The sequence below is a fragment of the Homo sapiens genome, chromosome 11, assembly GCF_000001405.40.
Source record: "Homo sapiens chromosome 11, GRCh38.p14 Primary Assembly".
NCBI classification, from domain to species: domain Eukaryota; kingdom Metazoa; phylum Chordata; class Mammalia; order Primates; family Hominidae; genus Homo; species Homo sapiens.
The window spans coordinates 22,290,382-22,312,610 of NC_000011.10; the positions used below are offsets into that span (position 1 = coordinate 22,290,382).

The window sequence follows — 22,229 nt, forward strand, 5'->3', positions numbered from 1 at the left end:
CCATCAATGATAGACTGGATTAAGAAAATGTGGCACATATACACCATGGAATACTATGCAGCCATAAAAAATGATGAGTTCATGTCCTTTGTAGGGACATGGATGAAATTGGAAATCATCATTCTCAGTAAACTATCTCAAGAACAAAAAACCAAACACTGCATATTCTCACTCATTGGTGGGAATTGAACAATGTGTTCACATGGACACAGGAAGGGGAATATCACACTCTGGGGACTGTGGTGGGGTGGGGGGAGGGGGGAGGGATAGCATTGGGAGATATACCTAATGCTAGATGACGAGTTAGTGGGTGCAGCACACCAGCATGGCACATGTATACGTATGTAACTAACCTGCACAATGTGCACAGGTACCCTAAAACTTAAAGTATAATAAAAGAAAAAAAAGAAAAAAAAAGGAAGTAGTAAATTAATTTGCTTTTCCAATATATTTAGGAAAATAAAGGTGTAGACTGGACAGAAATTATGGTGGATATATCACATTCTAAGAACAAATAGAATAAATAGTTTAATGTACAAGATTTAATCAAGAAAGCAAATCTGTTAGGAATATTATGGAATAAAGGGTTGTTTATAGAAAACAGGCCTTTTGAAATTGTGAAAGAAACTGGAAAGCAACGGTCTGGAAGAAAGATTTGGAGGGTAATATTGTTTGGCTGTGTCCCCACCCAAATTTCATCTTGAAATATAGCTCCCATAATCCCCATGTGTCCTGAGAGGGACCCAGTAGGAGGTAACTGAATCATGGGGATGGGTTTTTCCCATGCTGTTCTCATGGTAATGAATAAGTCTCACAAGATCTGATGGTTTTTTAAAGGGCAGTTCCCCTGCATATGCTCTCTTGGCTACTGCCATATAAGACATGCCTTTGCTTCTCCTTCACCTTCCACCATGATTTTGAGGCCTCCCCAGCGATGTGGAACTGTGAGTCCATTAAAACTCTTTATTTTTTAATAAATTGCCCAGTCTTGGGTATTTCTTCACAGCAGTATAAAAATGGACTAATACAGAGAGTCAGAGAAGAAGAACCATTCAGCTCTCCTGAAACACTGCCATGGGTAGAGAAGTTGAAGCTTGCAGAGATATCCATGTGATGTGCTAAAGTGAGACTAGGAAGGAAAACTAATGAAGAAGTCTATGGGGAAGTGTTACAATTGTCTAGCTATTCTTTTTTTTTTTTTTTTAAATTATACTTTAAGTTCTAGGGTACATGTGCACATTGTGCAGGTTACTCACATATGTATACATGTGCCATGGTGGTGCGCTGCACCCACTAACTCGTCATCTAGCATTAGGTATATCTCCCAATGCTATCCCTCCCCCATCCCCCCACCCCACAACAGTCCTCAGAGTGTGATATTCCCCTTCCTGTGTCCATGTGAGCTCATTGTTCAATTCCCACCTATGAGTGAGAATATGCGGTGTTTGGTTCTTTGTTCTTGCGATAGTTTACTGACAATGATGTTTTCCAATTTCATCCATGTCCCTACAAAGGACATGAACTCATCATTTTTTATGGCTGCATAGTATTCCATGGTGTGTATGTGCCACATTTTCTTAATCCAGTCTATCACTGTTGGACATTTGGGTTGGTTGCAAGTCTTTGCTATTGTGAATAATGCTAGGCATTACCATTCAGGACATAGGCATGGGCAAGGACTTCATGTCTAAAACACCAAAAGCAATGGCAACAAAAGACAAAATTCACAAATGGGATCTAATTAAACTCAAGAGCTTCTGCACAGCAAAAGAAACTACCATCAGAGTGAACAGGCAACCTACAAAATGGGAGAAAATTTTTGCAACCTACTCATCTGACAAAGGGCTAATATCCAGAATCTACAATGAACTCCAACAAATTTACAAGAAAAAAACAACCCCATCAAAAAGTGGGTGAAGGACGTGAACAGACACTTCTCAAAAGAAGACATTTATGCAGCCAAAAAACACATGAAAAAATGCTCATCATCACTGGCCATCAGAGAAATGCAAATCAAAACCACAATTAGATACCATCTCACACCAGTTAGAATGGCGATCATTAAAAAGTCAGGAAACAACAGGTGCTGGAGAGGATTTGGAGAAATAGGAACACTTTTACACTGTTGGTGGGACTGTAAACTAGTTCAACCATTGTGGAAGTCAGTGTGGCGATTCCTCAGGGATCTAGAACTGGAAATACCATTTGACCCAGCCATCCCATTACTGGGTATATACCCAAATGACTATAAATCATGCTGCTATAAAGACACATGCACACGTATGTCTAGCTATTCTTTCTATGAATCTGCAGCCAAGAATCATACACAAACTTGGAGCGCGCTGCTGGTCAGGAATAGTTGGACATGGAGTGAAAAAGAGTGAGGAGAGCATAGAGCCCACTAGACTCCAATTTGCATGTCCTTTATCACATCTGTCCTCAAAGACCAGAAAGAAGTCTTTCTGTTGCTTCACCTCTGTTTGCTTCTTGTGCAAATCTAACCTGATACCAGATAAAGAAAAGACTTCTGGGCAGTGCAGTTCCAGCTTCACTTAGTAAGGCTACTGGCCATTTGAAGAAAATGATTAATAAAACACACACAATGTGCTTTCATTAAATGTTGTGCTCAATAAGGAAAAGGAATTTCTTTACAAGTACATTCTAAACACTAACAAAATCTGGTCAAATACCAAGCCCCACCCAAAAAACAAACAACAACAACAACAAAAAACAGCAAATTTCAAATGACCAATATAAATCAGATGATTTTCTCTGTCCACAATAAAATGAAATTATAAAAAATAAAAAGATGGCTACAAAAATTATGTAACAAATCTTGAAATAACACAAAAAAGTAATCAAAGCAAAGTTTAGAAGATAATTTTTAATTACATTGTACCAAAAATACTGTACAGCTCAAATTTTGTGGGATACACTAAATATATTTTGTGGTGGTTTTAGAAGAACTGTATAGCATTTAATTAGGCTATTAAAAAAAGACAGGAAAAAGAAGCATCTAAAGAAGTTAGAGAACAGAAATATAAACAAAGTAAAAGGAAGGGAAAATCATTTTAAGAGGAGAAGTTAATGAAAAGTATACAGAAAACAATATCCTTAATGGGAACATATTAGACTTGTTCTCTTTATAATTAGCAATAAGAAAGCACAATTCCAGCAATAATAGCTCAGTTTTTCAGACTATTGCAACCCCAAGAACCACTAGAAAAACTGGGTAACATGTTTTTTAAAATGATTAAAAGCATCCGAAAAATATAAGACAAAGGGTTTTTATAGAAACAATAACTAGGAGAGAAAAGCAGAGAAGTAAGCCTGTTTTTTGTGACAATATTTTCCCTTGAGGAAACTGTAGATTCAAGAGGTAAAAAAAAGGCTGAAAGGGAGGTTCTGTGGAGCTTTCAACAGATTTATATCTTGGGAGAAATATTTAGGGTCTAGCAAGTATAGAAAGCCCTGGTAAAATTTCAGTACTTTCTGTGGAGACATTAAATATAAAGACACAGAAGGGTTGAAATGAACATAATGTGGAAAAAAAAAATTCCTTGGAAACACTAAAATAAGATAAAATTGATCTATACTAACATCAGACAAAGTAGAATGTGAGGCAAGGTGTAATAGTAGAGATTGAGATATTGTATAATGATAAAGTGATGAATTTAAGAAGAATGCATAACTAATCTAAACATGTATTTAATAACATACAGGAAAACGTATCAAGAAATGTTGACAGAACTGAGAGATGGTAAACCCACCATTTTTTATTTATTTATTTATTTTTGAATTGGAGTCTGGCTCTGTCGCCCAGGCTGGAGTGCGGTGGCGCAATCTCGGCTCACTGCAAGCTCCGTCTCCCGGGTTCATGCCATTCTCCTGCCTCAGCCTCCCGAGTAGCTGGGACTACAGGTGCCCGCCACCACGCCCGGCTAATTTTTTTGTATTTTTAGTAGAGACGGGGTTTCACCGTGTTAGCCAGGATGGTCTTGATCTCCTGACCTCGTGATCTGCCCACCTCAGCTTCCCAAAGTGCTGGGATTACAGGTGTGAGCCATCACGCCTGGCCAAACCCTCCATTTTATCTGGAGATGTTAACATGCTCTTAATGACTGATAGACCACCAGAAACAAATGCAATAGGATATGGAATATTTAAACTGTACAATCAATCAATTTGACAACTGACAAATACATATATATGCATATATAATGTATATACACACACATATATATACATACAAACATGACAAATAACATGCAACAATGGCAACATGCACATTTTTAAGTGTACATGGAAGATTTCCAAAATGAAACATATCCTGGACCTTAAGGCAGATGAAATTAATTTCAAAGGACTGAAGTCATTTAGAGTATTTCTCTGACTATAGTGAATTAAACTAGAACTCAATAGCAGAAAGATAACTAGAAAATCACCAAAATGTTTGGAAACTAAGCAAGCAAAACACAGTTCTCAATATATATGGATCAGAGAAGAAATCTCAATGCATATTAGATAACATTTGAAAATAAAAATGAATATTTACATTTTCAAATTTGTTGGAATCAGCTAAATCACTGTTTTTAGAGAATTCAAGTGTGTGAAAAAAATTCACGCAGAGGGGTGACTCAGCGTGAGGTTTCAAAGGCCAAGCAGATCAAAGAGACTTTGTCAAAAATGGGGCACCCCAGAGTAGGGGTCACAAAGCCCAAACAGACTTTGCCAAAAAAGGGGCACCCAGAGTAGGGGTCTCAAAGCCCAAACAGAGTGAGGTTGGTGAATTCATGGGAGAACAGCTTGATTCGGGGAGTTAGTCCAGGAATGGTAGGAATGGCATAAGTGCATTCACACAGGATGAAGGTGGTCCTGGCTGTAGGTATTAGATCCTAAAAGGGTGAGGAGGGCATCTATGCAATGCCAAGCCAGCATAGAGAGTCAGAGCCCAAACCCGGTGATGATCACATCCCTGAAAAAGTGTAGCCTGGAGGAAGAAATGAGAGTCAGATTGTGGCAAGGAGTGTGGATACACATGCTGGTAACATGACATGGAGTTTTGGGGCCCAACTGATGTGAAGAGAGTACCCACATAGTCCTGACACTGGGCTGAGGGAAGGGAACTTGTCATGACCTGACATAGTGTGATGGAGCTGGACGGGGTGAGCTGCGACTCACACAGGTAGCCAAATTATCTGGAAGTGTCGGAAACAATGTGAAGCATTACGAGGATGGGACGCCATTCTTGCAGGCTGTGATAGTGGTGGCTGATTTGAGGTTTGGGGCTCAGAGAGGAATGAGGAGGTCATGCACATTGAGGAAGGGGTGGTAGAGGTGGTAGGAGTGATGGGAGAGATAGGTTATATAAAAAGGCTTAATCAAGTATGTGAAAACACTAAGGATATAGTCAGTTGGAGATGGGAGTTACAGATCTCTAAAGGAGAACCCTAGAACGACTCCTCTCGTGTTTGAAATTGGAGGTAATGGATAGAACTAAGGATTTTTCATATGTAGATATAGAAATAAATATAAATGTGAGTACATACACTCACATACAAAATGGCAAGACGGGGGCAGGCAATGTCCAAGGTGACCCTGAAACATTTCGTTATGCTAGAAAGCAAGAAAATTCTCAAAGGATGATTCAACGTGTTGTAAAAAGAATATAGGAGCCAGCTTTAAAATGCATAACCTGAATTTAATCATGAATAAACATTGAACAAACCCAACCCGAAGGGCGTTCTACTAAATAACTCTAATTCTCAAAGTAGCAAAGACATAAAACTCATGAAAAGACTAACGAACTATCCCAGATCAAAGTATACTGAAGAAATTTGACAAATTTGGCAAACACAACGTGTCATTATGACCCAGATGTTTTTGCTACAAAAACCAAGATTGGTGTAATTGGTAATACTTGAACATTATCTGAGGATTAAATTGGAGAAATGTGTCAATGTTAATATCCTAATTTTGAAGGTTGTATTGAGTTTCTACAGAAACTGTATTTACAGGAAATACACACTAAAGAACTGTGAAGGAAAAAATAAATACTGGAATTATAAACAAAAAACTAATATGATAAAATGGGAGAATATACTTGCAAATCATGCATATGATAAGAGATTGGCATCTAAAAATATATAAGGAATGCAAACAAATCAATAGTAAGGAACAGATCACTAGATTTTTAAAATAGGTGAAGGATCTGAATAGACATTCTCAAAAGAATAATACAAATGGAAAGCAGATATATGAAAAATGCTCAAAATCACTGATCATAAGAGAAGTGCAAATTAAAATCACAATGACATATTACCTCAAACCTGTCAAATGGTTATCAAAAAGAGAAGAGATAACAAGTGTTATCAAGAATGTGGAGAAAAGGGAACACTTGCACACTGTTGGGGGTGGAGTGTAAATTAGGACAGCCATTACGGAAAACAGTATGGAAGCTCCTCAAAACATTAAAAATCGAACTATCATATGATCCAGCAATCCCACTACTGGATATGTATCCAAAGAAAATGACATCAGTATGTCAATGAGATATCTGCACTCCTATGTTCATTGCAGTACCGTTCACAATACCCAAGATATGGAATAAATCTAAGTGTCTATCATTGGAAGAATGGATAAAGAAAATGTAGTATATAAACACAACGTGATACTATTCATCCTTAAAATAGAAAGAAATCCTGCCACTTGCTACAACATGAATGAACTGGGATGACATTATGTCAAGAAAAATAAGGCAGGAATAAATAGACAAATACTACATGATCTCACTTATAAGTGTAGTATAAAATAGTTGAACTCATAGGAAGAGAGAGTAAAATGGTGGTTACCAGAGGCTGGGGCAGGTGGGGTATTGGGGAGATGTAGATCAAGGAACATGAAGTTAGACAGGAGACGTAAATTTAAGAGACCTGTTGTATGTCATGGCAATGAGCTAATAAATATATTGTGTAGCTGAAAATTGCTAAGAGAGTAGATTTTAAGTGTTTTCACCACAAAAAAGGTATGTGAGATAATGTCTATGTAGAATAGCTTGATAGAGTCATTCCACAATGCATACCTATATTAAAGCATTATATTGGACACCATAAATACATGCACACTTCACTTGTCAATTACAAAGAAAGAAAGAAACCTCTAATATAAATTGTTACCTAAGGGTGGTAGATGGACCCTTAAAAATAAAAATGGAAATACATCTTCTTTGATAGTAATGTTTTGATTTTTGAACCCTGTAAATATTTTAAACATAAAAAAGAGAGATCAAAATTTTTTAAAAAAATCACACTATATGTTGGAAATTAAACAAACTGAACAAAAGAAAAATAATTATTTCAAGTGATTTGGTGCATAGAATTCTGTGTATCCTTAGTGCGGTATGTTCTAAATATAAAAAGAACTGCAAAGATACCGCAAACTTCACTCTGTAGTTTTATTGTTGGTAGAAATGTTGGTATTTTGAGTTTGAAACTATTTCATTTATACAAACACATAAATATGTTTATATTAGGAATGAAAATTATCAATTAAAAAATAAAAATGTAAAATCAGTTTTTTAAGCTGTAATATTAAATTTGAAAGAGAACTGTCCACATGAACTCATGATTATTTAATGTCTTGCATATATCTACTGAAAGTGTCAAGAAGAAATTAGAACCTATTATAAATAAGGACATGTAGCACCCAGATCTTGGCTTCTAAATAGGTCTCCCCATTAAAAAAAAAAAAAAAAGAGATTGACTCCAAGTTTATGGAAGAAAATAAGATAAACCTTAAATTCATTTTTAAGGAGAAAGGAAAATTTAAGCACTGATGGATCACGTCAAAAGAGTCTGAGACAAGCCTGTGCAATGTGGCAAAACCCTGTCTCTACAAAATACTACAAAAATTACCCAGGTGTGGTGGCGCTCACTTATAGTCCCAGGTATTTGGGAGGCTGAGGTGGGAGACCTCTTGAGCCAGGTTGGGGCTTATGGGGAGGGGGCGGGGAGGGGAGTTGCAGTTAGCCAAGATCATGTCATGGCACTCTAGCCTGGGTGACAGAGCGAGACTCTGGCTCAACACAAACGCGCACACACACACACACACACACACACACACACACACAGAGTCAGCCTGAAGGAGAGCCTTATGGCCAAAGTTGAGAAAGTCTGAGCATCAAAAAACATACTAACTATATATGATTACAGCACATTGAATATATATATATATTGGGTCTATAAAACACTTAGAAAACTTAAAGAATGTCGGCTAATAAACTTGGAAGAAGTGATTTTAAAAATCACTATTTTGGGCCGGGCGAGGTGGCTCATGCCTGTAATCCCAGCACTTCAGGAGGCCGAGTCAGGCGGATCACCTGAGGTTGGGAGTTCGAGACCACCCTGACCAACATGGAGAAACTCCATCTCTGCTAAAAATACAAAATTAGCCGAGTGTGGTGGCACATGCCTGTAATCCCAGCTACTCGGGAGGCTGAGGTAGGAGAATGGCTTGAACCCGGGAGGCGAGCTTGCCGTGAGCCGGAGATAGCGCCATTGCACTCCAGCCTGGGCAACACGAGCAAAACTCTGTCTCAAAAAAAAGAAAAAAAAATCATTATTTTGCAGTCCTCTCATGTATTATCTGTGAAAGTATTGTCATTAATTGTTAAATATACTATATAGTAAAAGGGTTTGTGAGCAGAGAATATTTACATGGTGCCAAAGTATCACTTCACATACCGCTTGCTAATTGCAAAGAAAACTATGTATTTTTACAATGGAAAAATCTTATGGTTATCCACCTTTTCCTGATCATCAAACTTAGCATCACTAATTGTGGAACAACTTAAGATCATATTATACAATAAGATATAAAAATATAGTACAGAGCATAACATCTGAGGTATGTTTAGACTTCTAGTTTATAGGAACTCTAGGACATAGAAGCACAAACACGGTGAGGAACAATGAAACCAATGCAGAATATAGTATACTCCTATAAGACCTATAGCCATAAAAAAAAAGTAATGAAAAATGGAGGAGGAATGCAGTTGTAGATTAAAAGAGAACATGAGCCTTGATATAATATTGATATTTAAAAAGTGACACAAACTATAGACTTCAGGGTAGCTGAAGATAATAGTAGTGCCACCAGTCTGTCAATATTTTCTTCCAAAACAATACAAAACAGCAAAAAGAGAAAAGTAACTGTATACAAAATGCATGCTTTAGCATATCTTGAAGAAAGAGAATGGTTGAAATTTCACATTAACTGTGAGTAAAGGTAGAGAAGTCGCCAAATCCCAGTTAATGATCTTTCATATTCCTGCTCTACACCCATCCTACAGCAAGGCTTTACTGTGAACGAAGTTAGACCAGAAACAAACAAATGGAAAAACCACAGGGAAGACAAAATGAAAGCTATCAAAGGGGCCTAAGGTTGATGTAAAAGTGCTGCCCCCAAATTGAGTACATCAAAGCCTAAAAATACTCGAAAAGTGTCTGGGCAGGTCAGAACACAGAATGCAAGGAAGGGAGTTCAAAGAATGTGCTACTTCAAAAGAGCCTCATAACCATGACTCAAAATCCAAAGACACTGGATTGGCAAAAGATTGGTAAAGTTGATTTTGTAAAAAATTTTAAAAATGCATTACAAAGGTACCATAAGGGAAATGACCAACTGGGAGAAAATATTTGCAACTTAGACAAAGGACAAATATCTCTATTTCATAAAGAACCCTAAAAATTAAAGTACAGAGGACTGAGGGCCTATAGAAAAAATGGGACAAAGAAATGAACAGATAATTAATGAAAAATATATAAAAATGGTCCTCAAATATATGAAAAGTGTTGAACTTATAATTAGAGGAATGCAAATTGAAACAACACTGAGGCAGCATTTTTCACCTATCAGATTTGTAAACATTTAAGTTTGATGACGAACTTTTTATGAGGCTATGGGGAAAAAGGCACTCTTTTATGTTCCTAGTGAGATATAAACTGTACAACCCACTGAGAAGATAATTTATCGTTTAGCATTTTTTTTTTTTTTTTTTTTTTTTTTTTGAGACGGAGTCTCGCTCTGTTGCCCAGGCTGGAGTGCAGTGGCGCGATCTCGGCTCACTGCAAGCTCTGCCTCCTGTGTTCTCGCCATTCTCCTGCCTCAGCCTCCCGAGTAGCTGGGACTACAGGCGCCCACCACCACGCCTGGCTAATTTTTTGTACTTTTAGTAGAAACGGGGTTTCACCGTGTTAGCCAGGATGGTCTAGATCTCCTGACCTCATGATCCGCCCACCTCCAACTCCCAAAGTGCTGAGATTACAGGTGTGAGCCACCGTGCCCGGCCTATCGTTTTGCTTTTATTCCATTTGGGGGTTCTATTCTACATCCTGATTGATTTTAATTTCTTTTTATTTCAAGGTTTGTGAAATATTATCATGGTTGTAACACCCAACAAAACTACATATGCATTTATTTTTTTCACCTAGCATTTCTTCTTCTAGAAATCTATCCTAAAGACATATCTTGAACAATACAAAAATACATATGCAATAGGTTATTCTTTACAACACTGTTTATAATTGCAAAATATTAAAAACAGTATAAATGTTCATACATAGAACAGTGAGTGCTTAAGTAAACTGTAACACATCCACACAATGGAATATTATTCAGTTGTGTAAAAAAGAATAAAGAGATCTGTCTGAATGGATATGGAATGATTTGCAAGATACACAGTTATGTGAGAAAAGCAAAATCCAAAAGAGGTCCTGTGGTGTGCTACACTTGGTACAAAAGCGAATTGGATAAAAAACAAATATATATGTGTATCGTATATCTGCTAATTTTTGCAAAAGAAATAGAAGAATAAACCAGAAACTAATGATATTACTTACCTACAGGAAATGATGAGAATAGAATAAATATTTGGTAGAAGGAATGATGAGGAACAATGTTTTCCAGGCATACCTTTTCAATACCTCTGACTGTTATAAGTATGGTAATATTTCACAAACCTTGAAATTAAAAAAGAAAGAAGTCCATCAGGATGTAGGGTAGAAACTCCAGGTGGAATACAAATTTAAAAATAAACAACTATATTAAAAGTGAATAATAAATCCACTTTACAGGGCATGGGGAAGAAAAAAAATAACCTAAGTACCTGGAAAACAATGTAATTTGACTCTATACTGTAAGGCTAAATACAGAAAGAAGTATACTTACATATTATACTCTAGTTAGTAAATGTCTTTCTCACAGGAATATGACCTGGCAATTCTGAAATTATTTATGTATATACTAGAATTGAAAAATAAGTAAATATAATGTGGATAATGAGAATAGGGTTTATCACTGCCAGAGAAAGAAGTTATAAATAACAGAAAGAGAAAAGCAGAAATGAACTCTACGGTTTTAAGTCGGAACTAAAGGTAACAAAATACTCATGATAGATTAGATAAATGATAGACAAATATAAAAAATGTAGATGTGCATATTTTAATGTACATGCATATATTTTCTAGTTACGTTCTCTGAGAGAGCACAGGAAACAATGACACTACAGTAGTGCTGACTACAATCTAGCCTGAGTGGACTCTGGTGAAAAATATTTGATTCTAAAGGCTAGAGCAGAGAGAATACAAGAGGAATCTCAAACATTTTTTGGTGACAGAAAGTAAGAGTGCTCAAGGATGGGACGTGTCAAAGGACACAGAAGTCAACCTGAAGGAACTCCTAATAGCTAAACTTGGAAAAATTAGAGCAACAAAATTAATAATAATAATAATAATACCCAGTAGTTAACACTGATACAAACAAATAATTGAATAAATTAACAAATGAGGGAAAATATATTGAAGAATTCCAACTAATAAATTGGAAGGAATCAGAGAGGCAAATCATATTAAACATAAACCACAGAAATAATTGTTAAAGGCTAAAATTAATAGGAGAAAGCATGATAAAAATAGGACATTTGAAAAGACTTAAAGTATCACCACCCACAATGTATTTATTTAATTCAAAGAGAAAAAAATAACAACTTTGCAATAGAGAAACTTGTCATACACTACTTTAACCAAGTAATCAAGATTAACATCACCAGTAATAACACATATTAATATCATGTATCCCAGTATAAGGCACTGAGGACACATCAGTACTTTGGTATTCTTGCCAAAAAGGCATTACCTCAATCTAATTATGAAAAAAAAATCAGACAAAGTCAAATTGAGATACATTCTACTAAAGGATTAAATCATCAAAACAGAATGAACAGCTAACTGACAGATTAGAGGAGAATAAAGAGACTTGACAACTACTAAATGAAATATGGGATCTGGGGCTGGATCTTAGACTTGAAAAAGGACATCAATGAGAAAACTAGTGAGATGAAAATAGGTGTAGAGTGTAGCTAATCCTATTGTATCAATGTTAATTCCCTGCTTTTGAAAATTGTACTACAGTTGTGTAAGGCACTAATATTAGAGAAAGCTGGGTAAAGGGTAGCACTATAGATGCAATTCTTCTGTAAGTCTGAAATTATTTCAAAACATAAAGTTTAAAAAAACTAATGACATTTTGTGGACAATTGGAGAAATGTGAACATGGATTATGAGACAGTATTCCTCACTGTTAATTCTGATAAAGGTATTTTGGTTAAATAGGAATAATACCATTATTCTTAAAAGACGCACATTGAAGTAGGTAAGGCAAAGTGACATGATGTCTAAAACTTAATGTCAAATGACTCCTCAATTACGTAGTAAAGAGATAAAAGAAAATGACTCAAATTATTAAAAACTATTTAATCTAAGTAGTGAGTACACTGACATTTAGTTATACTATTTTCAAGCTTTTGTACTTTTGAAAATTTTTAAAATAAAAATTTGGTTTAAAAAAAATCACACAATTACCCTTTTTATTCCACATGGATGTTGTAGCCAGAAAAATATAGGTTAAAAAAAGAAAATATGTATAACTCATAAAGCAATCAACAAAACTGTTATTTGTATCTATATCTAGCAATTTACGTGGAATACAGGGGTTGGAGGAACTTATTAAACATGATGGAGCCACAAAAATCTAGACTAAAAAACCTCCATAGGACCAATAACTGGCTTTCTTTCGCAAATAAATTACCAGCAGAAAGAAAAGAGGTGGAGGGAAATGTATGAAAAACAACAACTACAACAAAAACTTAAGAAACCTATCACTCATGTATGCATCTTCTTTAGATCCTGATTTGAGCAAACTTCAAGAAAGGAAGGAAGAGGAAAAGGAGGAAGAATAGGAGGTTCGGAAGCAGGAGGAGAAGGAGGAGAGAAAAGAGAGGAAGACAAAGAAAGGAGGAAGAGAAAGCTGAACAGCAGTAGAAAAATTAGGAGGAAAACATATTTGAGCCATGACTATCTAGTGTTTACTTCAAAATGAATGATGAATTATTTTTAATGTTAGGTATAATAATGGTATTAATGGCCACGACTTTGAGAGCACACATCTTTTAAATATACACCCTAAATATTTGCAGGTGAAATGACATGATGCCTGGGATTTCCTTCAAAATTATCCTGGATAATTTTGGGGGTGGGGAGGTGAAATCAGAGGGGATAAATAAAATAAGATTACAAGCTGTTCATATTTGTTGAAGGTCAGTAAGGAGATTTTAGTAAACCTCCTTACTGTATCTATTCAGTAAATAGATTTTAAATGCTATTCTTTCCCCTTTTGTATGTGTTTGAATTTTTTTACAATAAAGAGTTTTTAAAAAGAGCACAAAAACTGCATACATCTGACCAGCAATTTCATTCTAGAAATCTACATTACACAAATACTCAAATTTGTAAATTGTAGATATAAAGGTGTGGGTAGAAGGTTGATAGTCCAAGTATATTTTATTCATTGCAGTGTTGTTTGTAATAGGCAAATATAGGAAATAACCTAACAATAATTAGTTTTAAAAATAATATTATGGGATATAACACAATCCATTCATTAAAATTAACATAAGTATTCTACTATATTTGTCGAGTTAATAACTAGCTACAAAACTGTAGAGATAGTGTAATCTCATTTGTGTACAGTTGAATTCCCAATTTAACTCACACTAGAAACTCACATCAGCGGCAAAAATGTTTTAACTCTTATCTTGATTGCCACCTGCTGGTCAGTATGGGGAAATACAATTTTAAAAGTTCTTAAGGTTTCCAACTTGATTGGATCCAAAGAAATGAATAGTCCCTTTAGGTGGTTTTCGGTAATTCCTAAATGAAAGTGCTTAGTTTCTTGAAGAACCTGCATCCCCCTCATGCTTCTGTGGCAAATATGGTGTCCCAGTTTGTTAATAGGAGGAAAATGGCATGGGAAAAGATGGGCCTCTGGTTTATGAAAATGGACTGTGTACAAGCTGCAGGTGCAGGCCGCCACTGTTATTTGGGCAAAATAGCCCTTGTAGGTCTGGTCACTGAGAACCTTACTGGCAGCCTATGGCAAATAAATCTGTAGTATATTCTTTTTACTTGGATAATACTTTTCGAGAAAGGCAACTATATTCCTCTTGCCAAATCTACTCTCCTTAGGTTTTGCTAGCTAAAATCTCCTGGGTTTATGCTATGTGCCTCATACATACCCTGGTCCAGTGTTCTGCTATCAGCTTCTCTAGATAGTGCCTTCACTCTTCCACACTGCATTCAATGGCAGTTTCACAGATTCTCAGCTTAGGGTCCACTGAACACAAAAAATTGAGGGAGGCTTGAGGAGGACAACTATATATTTTTATCTGATTGTACCCACCCACTCCTCCTTGCGTTACGCTGAGCTGACCCATATTTATGTGGAGTCCTCTGTACAACTTCTGGTTTCCTACTGGATACCCCAGCTGGAAAGCTGGGCAACTACCTCCCTGCTTTCAGTGTTCCCCTGCTTGTTGTAGAAAGTGCAATAAGTATGTGGGTGAAGTGCTGTATTTAGGATATGATTCTAGGGAATGAGCAAGTGAGAAAAGGAATAAAGCAAGTGTTTATCAGTGGGTTATCACTGTGGGAAACCAGAGGTATGTCCCACTGAGAAGCCCTTTGAAAGACTTTGAAATAAAGCTCAGAAGTTTCACACAGAAGAGAAGAGCAAGATGGGGATTTTATCTACTGCTCCCCCTCATAGATTGAGGGTTGATTCTAGGAACGATAAGTCCTCAGCAGTCCAAGATGTCCCAACCAGCCAAGTACATTCCCATGGCTAGAAAAAAATCATTAAGGTAAAAAGATGTAAGTACATACCCAGGGTAAAATGCCATCAGTCATTATGGAAATTGTCCCCTGAAGCTACAGATAAACTTTAAGTAAGTTTGCAGCTTTGGGTGGGACACAAATGGCATGTGCTGACATCCTCATACTTTATTAGGGAACATATTCTGCTCTGGGCTGAAGCCTAGAAAGAGGAAAGGGAAAAAAATTTGTTTCTCCTACTGCTCAATAATTAAAGCATTTATTTTTGCCTTATTCTGAACTTCAAAACCTCAGAAAACAGGAAGTATTTTTTACAACGAATTTAGCAGCAATATATGATCTAATTTAATTTATAATCTAATTTTAGAGATCTATGTCTTATCAATATGCCATTCTGCTTCTGACTTCACCTTTATTATCACTATCCTCTATCAGTACAAGCAGTGAGACATCTTTCTACTGTGTTATACCTTGTTTCTTCCCAGTTCTACATCCAGTCTTACTTAGGATTTAAATACCAAACCAAGATTGACTTCAACTATACACTGGAAGAACTCTATGGGTGATTTCTCTAGGCTTAGCTCTTGATTTGTTAAATGGAAGCTGAATGAATTTATTTTTTTAAAAGCCTGTGGAGATGTAAATACATTCCATAGAATTCACCCATTTAAAGCCTTTTGGCTATGAAGAATAATGCTGATTTAAACATTCATGAACAAGGTCTTTTGTGGACATAGTTTTCATTTCTTTTGGCTATATACCAAGGAGTGGAATTTCTGGGTCAAATGGTAAATCTATGTTTAATCATTTAAGAAACCAAATAAATGTATTAGATACCTATCCTTTTACTATATATAATGCCTTTATTTTATGATTATTAAAGTCCTATAAACTGCATCTTGTGTCCTTGAAACTGAATATTACCTTATACTTTGTCTTTAAATTCTTTTTTGAATAAATTTTAATTACCCTGACTAGACAAACATCTTACTCTGACTAAGTTAAATATTGCATACTTAGAAATATGGAAAAGTACACAAATAATTTTCAAAATATTGTTCTCTATATGTATGTAAATATATATATCAGTGTCTGTATGAACTTAAAAGAAGTTTAATAAGAATACACACTAACATATCAACAGTGGCTTCTACAGAGTAGGATGGAGGTACCTCCATTATTCATTTTCTGAAATTAGTTGTTGTTTCAATTTTATTACAAGAAGTATATAATAGATTCATTTTTAAAGGCTAGGTGATACAAATATATATTGAAAATTAGCCAAAATGTTATAAAATTCAAATATTTCTCTAGAATGAACTCACATATTTAGATCACATTAGGTGAATGCCTTGAAGTGATACCTTAACTGAGTTACAATTTTAAATTTGAAAACTAAAAATATCCCAGTTAAATTTGCACTGCCTTGCTCTAAAACTATTGTTGAAATCATAGACTATTAAGCTATTAAGCTTTTTAGTAATTTCTGTGTATGGTCCGTTCCAAAGTATTTTTAAACTAAAAATTAATGTCACAGCCTTTGTGGGGCTGCTATGGAATCTTGGAAACATGATTTTCTCTTGGCTTTGGAAACTAGAAATCTCAAGAACCAATTCGATGGCATAACTTACCAACTCATTTCATCATCATCATTGTTGTCATAATCATCGTCGTCATCATCATAGCAACCATTTCCTGAACGTTTATTGTGTTGCATACACTGGTCCAGAACCTTAAGGCAGATGATCTATTTCATCTTCTGAAGAAATCTATAAGATAGGTTTAATTATTATTATTTCATGCTCAAAATCACTAAGGCACAAGATATTTAGTATTCCGCTCAAAGTTATGTAATTCATGTCAGAGCAAGAATTTAATCCGAGTTAGTCTTACTCCAACATTCATCTTATTCATTAAAGAGGACTTTTTAAGTTACAAACAACAGAACACCTCAACCAAGTTGGCTTTTAAAAAATGTACAATAAATATACATTTTATTATATATAATCTAGAAAGATAACAAGAGTGTATCTTTTACCTCACTTACAGCTCTATAAGTTCTTAAATTCTCTGCCACAATCTAGTCTGAAGTATGTTGATCATCTTGTAAAACACAGAACATTATATTCGTCCACTATATTGGTAACATCATGTTTATTAAATTGTTAAGCAAAAAATAGCATTTTTTTTATGCTGACATAGATAAGTTTGTTTTAACATTTATATGGAAATGCTCAGGAGCTAGAAGAGATAAAACCATTAAACTTTGCTTCAAGTTAAGGCTTAAAAGACAGCTGCAGTAATCAAGACAGCATGATATTGGCAGAAGAATAAAAACATATATTAAAGAAATATAATCAATAATCCAGAACTAGACACACATAAATATGTCCAAATGATTTTTGAAAATGGTACCAAGCAAGTAGATAGAGGAAGGATAGCTTTTTCAATAAATGGTGCTGGAACATTTTGACATCCATAGGCAAAAGAAAAAAAAGCCTTGCCTGAATAAAACATAAAACTATTAAATAAAAAATAGGAGAAAATTTTCAGAACCTAAGATTAGAAAAATTAGTGTTAAACCTTACAACAAAACCATGATCTGCAAAAGAAAGGTTGAATAAATTAGGCTGCATCAAAATTAAAAGATTTTGTTCTATGAAAGACCTTGTAAAGAAGATGAAAAGACAAGCTATATATTGGGCAAAAATATTTGTAAACCAGATATTCTACAAAGTACTTATATATAGAATATAAAAATCTCTCAAAGCTACAGTCAAAAAAGAAAAGAACAATTCCATTAGTGAGTGGGAAAAAGACATTTTGCTTAAGGGAGTGTACAGATGACAAATAAGCACATGAAAAGATGTTCAGCATCATTCATCATTAGATAAATGTGAATTAAAACCACAATGACACATCACAACACACCCATCAGAATAGCTAAAATAAAAAATAGTAATAACACCAAACACTGGTGAAGATGTAAAGAAACTGGATCATTCTGATTGTTACTGAATATCTAAAATGGTATATATATTCAGGAAAACAGTTTTTCAGTTTCTTATAAAATAAATCATTTATTTACCATAAAACTCAGCAATTGCATACTTGAACATTTATGCAAGAAAAAAACCACTTAAACTTTTTCACAAAACTAGTACATGAATGTTCATACCAGCTTTATTCATATTAGCCCCATAGTGGAAAAAACCCAAATATCATTCATGTGTGAATGGGTAGGCAAACGTGGTACATCCACACAGTGGAATACTACTCAGCAGTAAAAAAGGAACTGCTATTGATACACCAGCAACAGCTTGAATGGACCTCAAGTAAACTGGGTTGAGTAAAATAATCCAGCCTTCAAAAGTTAGATACCGTTTGATTCTATTTATATCATAGTATTGAAATTATAAAATTATAAGGATAGAGAAAAGATTGGTGGCTGTGAAGGATATGGAGATAGGTTGTACCTATAAAAGGAGGACATGAGGAATCTTTATTAGGCAACTGTTTTATATTTTAACTGTGGTGGTGTTCACATGAATATAGATCCCTAGTACATCAAGAATCCATAACTGGAAGTCCTGATCAAGAAGACTTAAATGCATGTGTACCTAATAACAGAGTTTCAAAGTTTTTAAAGCAAAAATACATAGAACTAAAACAAAAATGAGAGATTTATAGTTGAAGTTGTTAATACTTGTATCTCAGTAATTTATAGAACAAGTATATAAAAAATCAGTTAAGACATAGAAAACTTGAAAAATACTATCAGCTGGTTTAATTTCTATTATATCACTGTAATTAAAAGGGCAGAAACCTAATTTTTTTGAAGAATATGTGGATTGTTTACTAAGATAAACTGTATTCTGGGCCATCAAATAGTCTTAATAGTCTTAATAAATTTAAAATAATTAAAATTATACAAAACAGTCTGGTTATAATATAATTGAATAATGTATATTACAAAAAATCTAGAAAATTCCAACAAATTTGAAAATTAACACACTTTTAAATTACCTATGACTCAAAACAAAATTTAAAATATGTTGAACTGAAAGCCAATGAAAACACAACATAATTAAATTTGTGGGGTATGGTTAGAGAAATGGCTGAGGTAAAATTTATAGCTTTAATTACTTACATTGGAAAAGAAGACACAAATCAATGACTTACGGTTTCTTCTTGAGGTGTAGAAGAAATTAAATTAATCCCAAGATAAGTGGAATTAAATAATAAAGAGGAGTCAATAAAATATACAATGGGCAAACAATTGGGAAAATCATTCAGATTAAAAACTGGTTCTTTTAAATGATCAATAAAATTGATACCCTTCCCATCAGAAAGATTAATGGAAAAAAAGGAGAGAAGGCATTAAATTGCTTGTATCAGAAACAAAGAAGGGAATATCATTACAGTTTCAAAAAGATGTATTGATTTTTACAAAAGTGTCAACAATATTTAAAAGATATTAAGAAAATATGAAAAATTTGTAATGATAAATTTATGAATTTAGATGAAATTTTTTTTTTTTTTTTTTGAGACGGAGTCTTGCTCTGTCACCCAGGCTGGAGTGCAGTGGCGCGATCTCGGCTCACTGCAAGCTCTGCCTCCTGGGTTCATGACATTCTTCTGCCTCAGCCTCCCAAGTAGCTGGGACTACAGGCGCCCGCCACCATGCCCGGCTAACTTTTTGTATTTTTCTTACAGATGGGGTTTCACCATGTTAGCCAGGATGGTCTCGATCTCCTGACCTCGTGATCTGCCCCCTCAGCCTCCCAAAAGTGCTGGGATTACAGGCGTAAGGCACCGCTCCCAGCCCTAGATGAAATTATTAAAGCACTTAAAAACACAAATTCCAAAACTTGCACAAAAACACATATAGAAAGTTGTAATAGTTTATAATCTATTAAAAACATTGATTTTGTAATCTAAATTCTCCCCACAAAGAAAATTAGAAGCCCAGATGGTTTCATTGGTGACGTCCATCAATCATAAAGCAAGATATAATAGTCTTATATACACTGTCTCAGAAAATAAAAGAGGGAATAGTTTCCAACTTATTTTGTAAGTCCATAAAATATGGTGTTACTCTCATACCAAAACTAAAAGATAATATTACAAAAACATAGAAGTACAGGCTTACATCCTTCATTAACATAGAAACAAAAATTCTTATCAGCAACATCCACATATTATAATATATCATCCCTAAAAGAGATTTATCCCAAAGTGTGAGGTTGATTTTATATTCAATATTTAATCAATGAAATTAGCAATACTTAAAGGATAAGGGAGAAAAACTACGTGATTATATTAATTAAGATCCGGGAGAAAAAATATCTATGACAAAAATTCAACACCCACTCCTGGTAAAAATGCTCAGCAAACTAGAAATAAAAGAGAACTTCTACAATACAAAAATATGCAATGAATACTTTAAAAATAAACTTTTGTCAGCAGACCTGCACTATGAGAAAAGTTAAAGTGCCACATACTGAAAAAATAAAAACAAAACAAAAACTTCTACCAGATGGAAGCTTAGATCTACTCAAATGGTAAGAAACATTGGTATACAGAAATCAATTTCATTTAAAATAGCAGTGTAACATGAAATACTTAGAGATACATAATAAAATATGGGTAAGACCTGTAAACTGAAAACTACCAAATATTGCTGGTAAAATTAAGAATAACATACATAAATGAGTAAGATATACTATATTTACAGGTTGGGAGAGTCAAAATTGACAGAATGTTAATTCTTCCCAAATTGATCGATAGATTTATTATGTAACCAGTGAAAAGTCTGGAAGGCTGTTTTAGTGTGTTTTGCTTTGTTTTTAGAAACTAACAAACTCATTCTTAAGCTTATATTTAAGGGCCTAGGAAAACTAAATTATGATGAACTTTGCACTACCTGATATCAGGACTTAAAGTATAACTTCAGTAAGAAACACAGTGTGATGTTGGCATAAAGACAGACATATAAATAAATAGAACAGGACGTGGAGACAAAAAAATAGACCTATACTTAAATGGTGTATCTATTTCTATAAAAGTGTCAAAAAAATTCAATAGGGAAATGATACATTATTAAACAAACTGCTACAATAATGGGATATTCACATGGAAACAAATGAGTCTCAATCCTTACACTTTATACAAAAAGTAAGTTGAAATATATGACGCCAAATTTAAGAGTTAAAGCTTGAACTTTCAGAAGTAAAAGCACACGAGAAAATCTTTGCATCTTTGGCTGCATAAAAATTTCCTAGAGAGGTCACACACATTAAAAGAACCCAAATCATTAAAGAAAATGGTAAATTTAACTTTATCAAACTTAATAATGCTTGCTGTTTCAAATACACCATATTAATAAAGTTTCTCCAGAGAGGTAGATCCAGTAGAAGGGGAGAGAGAGAGAGGAGAGAGAGGAGAGAGAGAGAGAAAGAGGAGAGAGTGGAAAGAGAGAGAGAGAGAGAGAGAGAGAGAGAGAGAGAGAGAGAGAGAGAGAGAGAAAAAATATATATGGGGAATTGGTTCACACAATTAGAGAGGCTGAGAAGTCTCAAGATATGTTGGCTACATCATAAACATCATATTTCATCCATACATTATCCCTGTATTTCATGTATTATTATCCCATTGATTGAAGAGGGAAATTTAGCCAGAGAGGTAAAATCATCTACCCAGGTATTGTTGAAAATTTCAGAAACAGAATTTGGACTCAGGATGAAGTGAAACTTGTTCTTAACTACTATGCTACATTTTTCACCACATGTCCACCTACATGAATTTCTTCATTGGAGACATTTCTAAAGAAAAAAGTCTTTGACAAAGTTCTAATATTATCTTCTGCTAGAACAGGTTGTTTTAAGGGATATCATATCCTATTCCAGAAAACTTTCTTCATCTCCAGACTCAGAATGTTTGAGTCTGTTATTGCCACTCTATTTGTCAGAAATGTTTCTAAGAATATTCCTTCTAGACTTCTAC

At 34.7% G+C, this 22,229-nt stretch overlaps 1 long non-coding RNA gene across 1 annotated transcript in view; it reads right to left on the reverse strand.

Moving 5' to 3' along the window:
• Positions 1-22,229, reverse strand: part of SLC17A6-DT (SLC17A6 divergent transcript) — a 54,493-nt gene that overhangs the window by 6,652 nt on the left and 25,612 nt on the right. The window contains exons 2-3 of the long non-coding RNA NR_186351.1: positions 16,856-16,993; positions 15,276-15,426 (exon numbers count right to left, since the gene is read on the reverse strand). This is a non-coding gene — a long non-coding RNA (SLC17A6 divergent transcript). The remainder of the gene's footprint in view (positions 1-15,275; positions 15,427-16,855; positions 16,994-22,229) is intronic.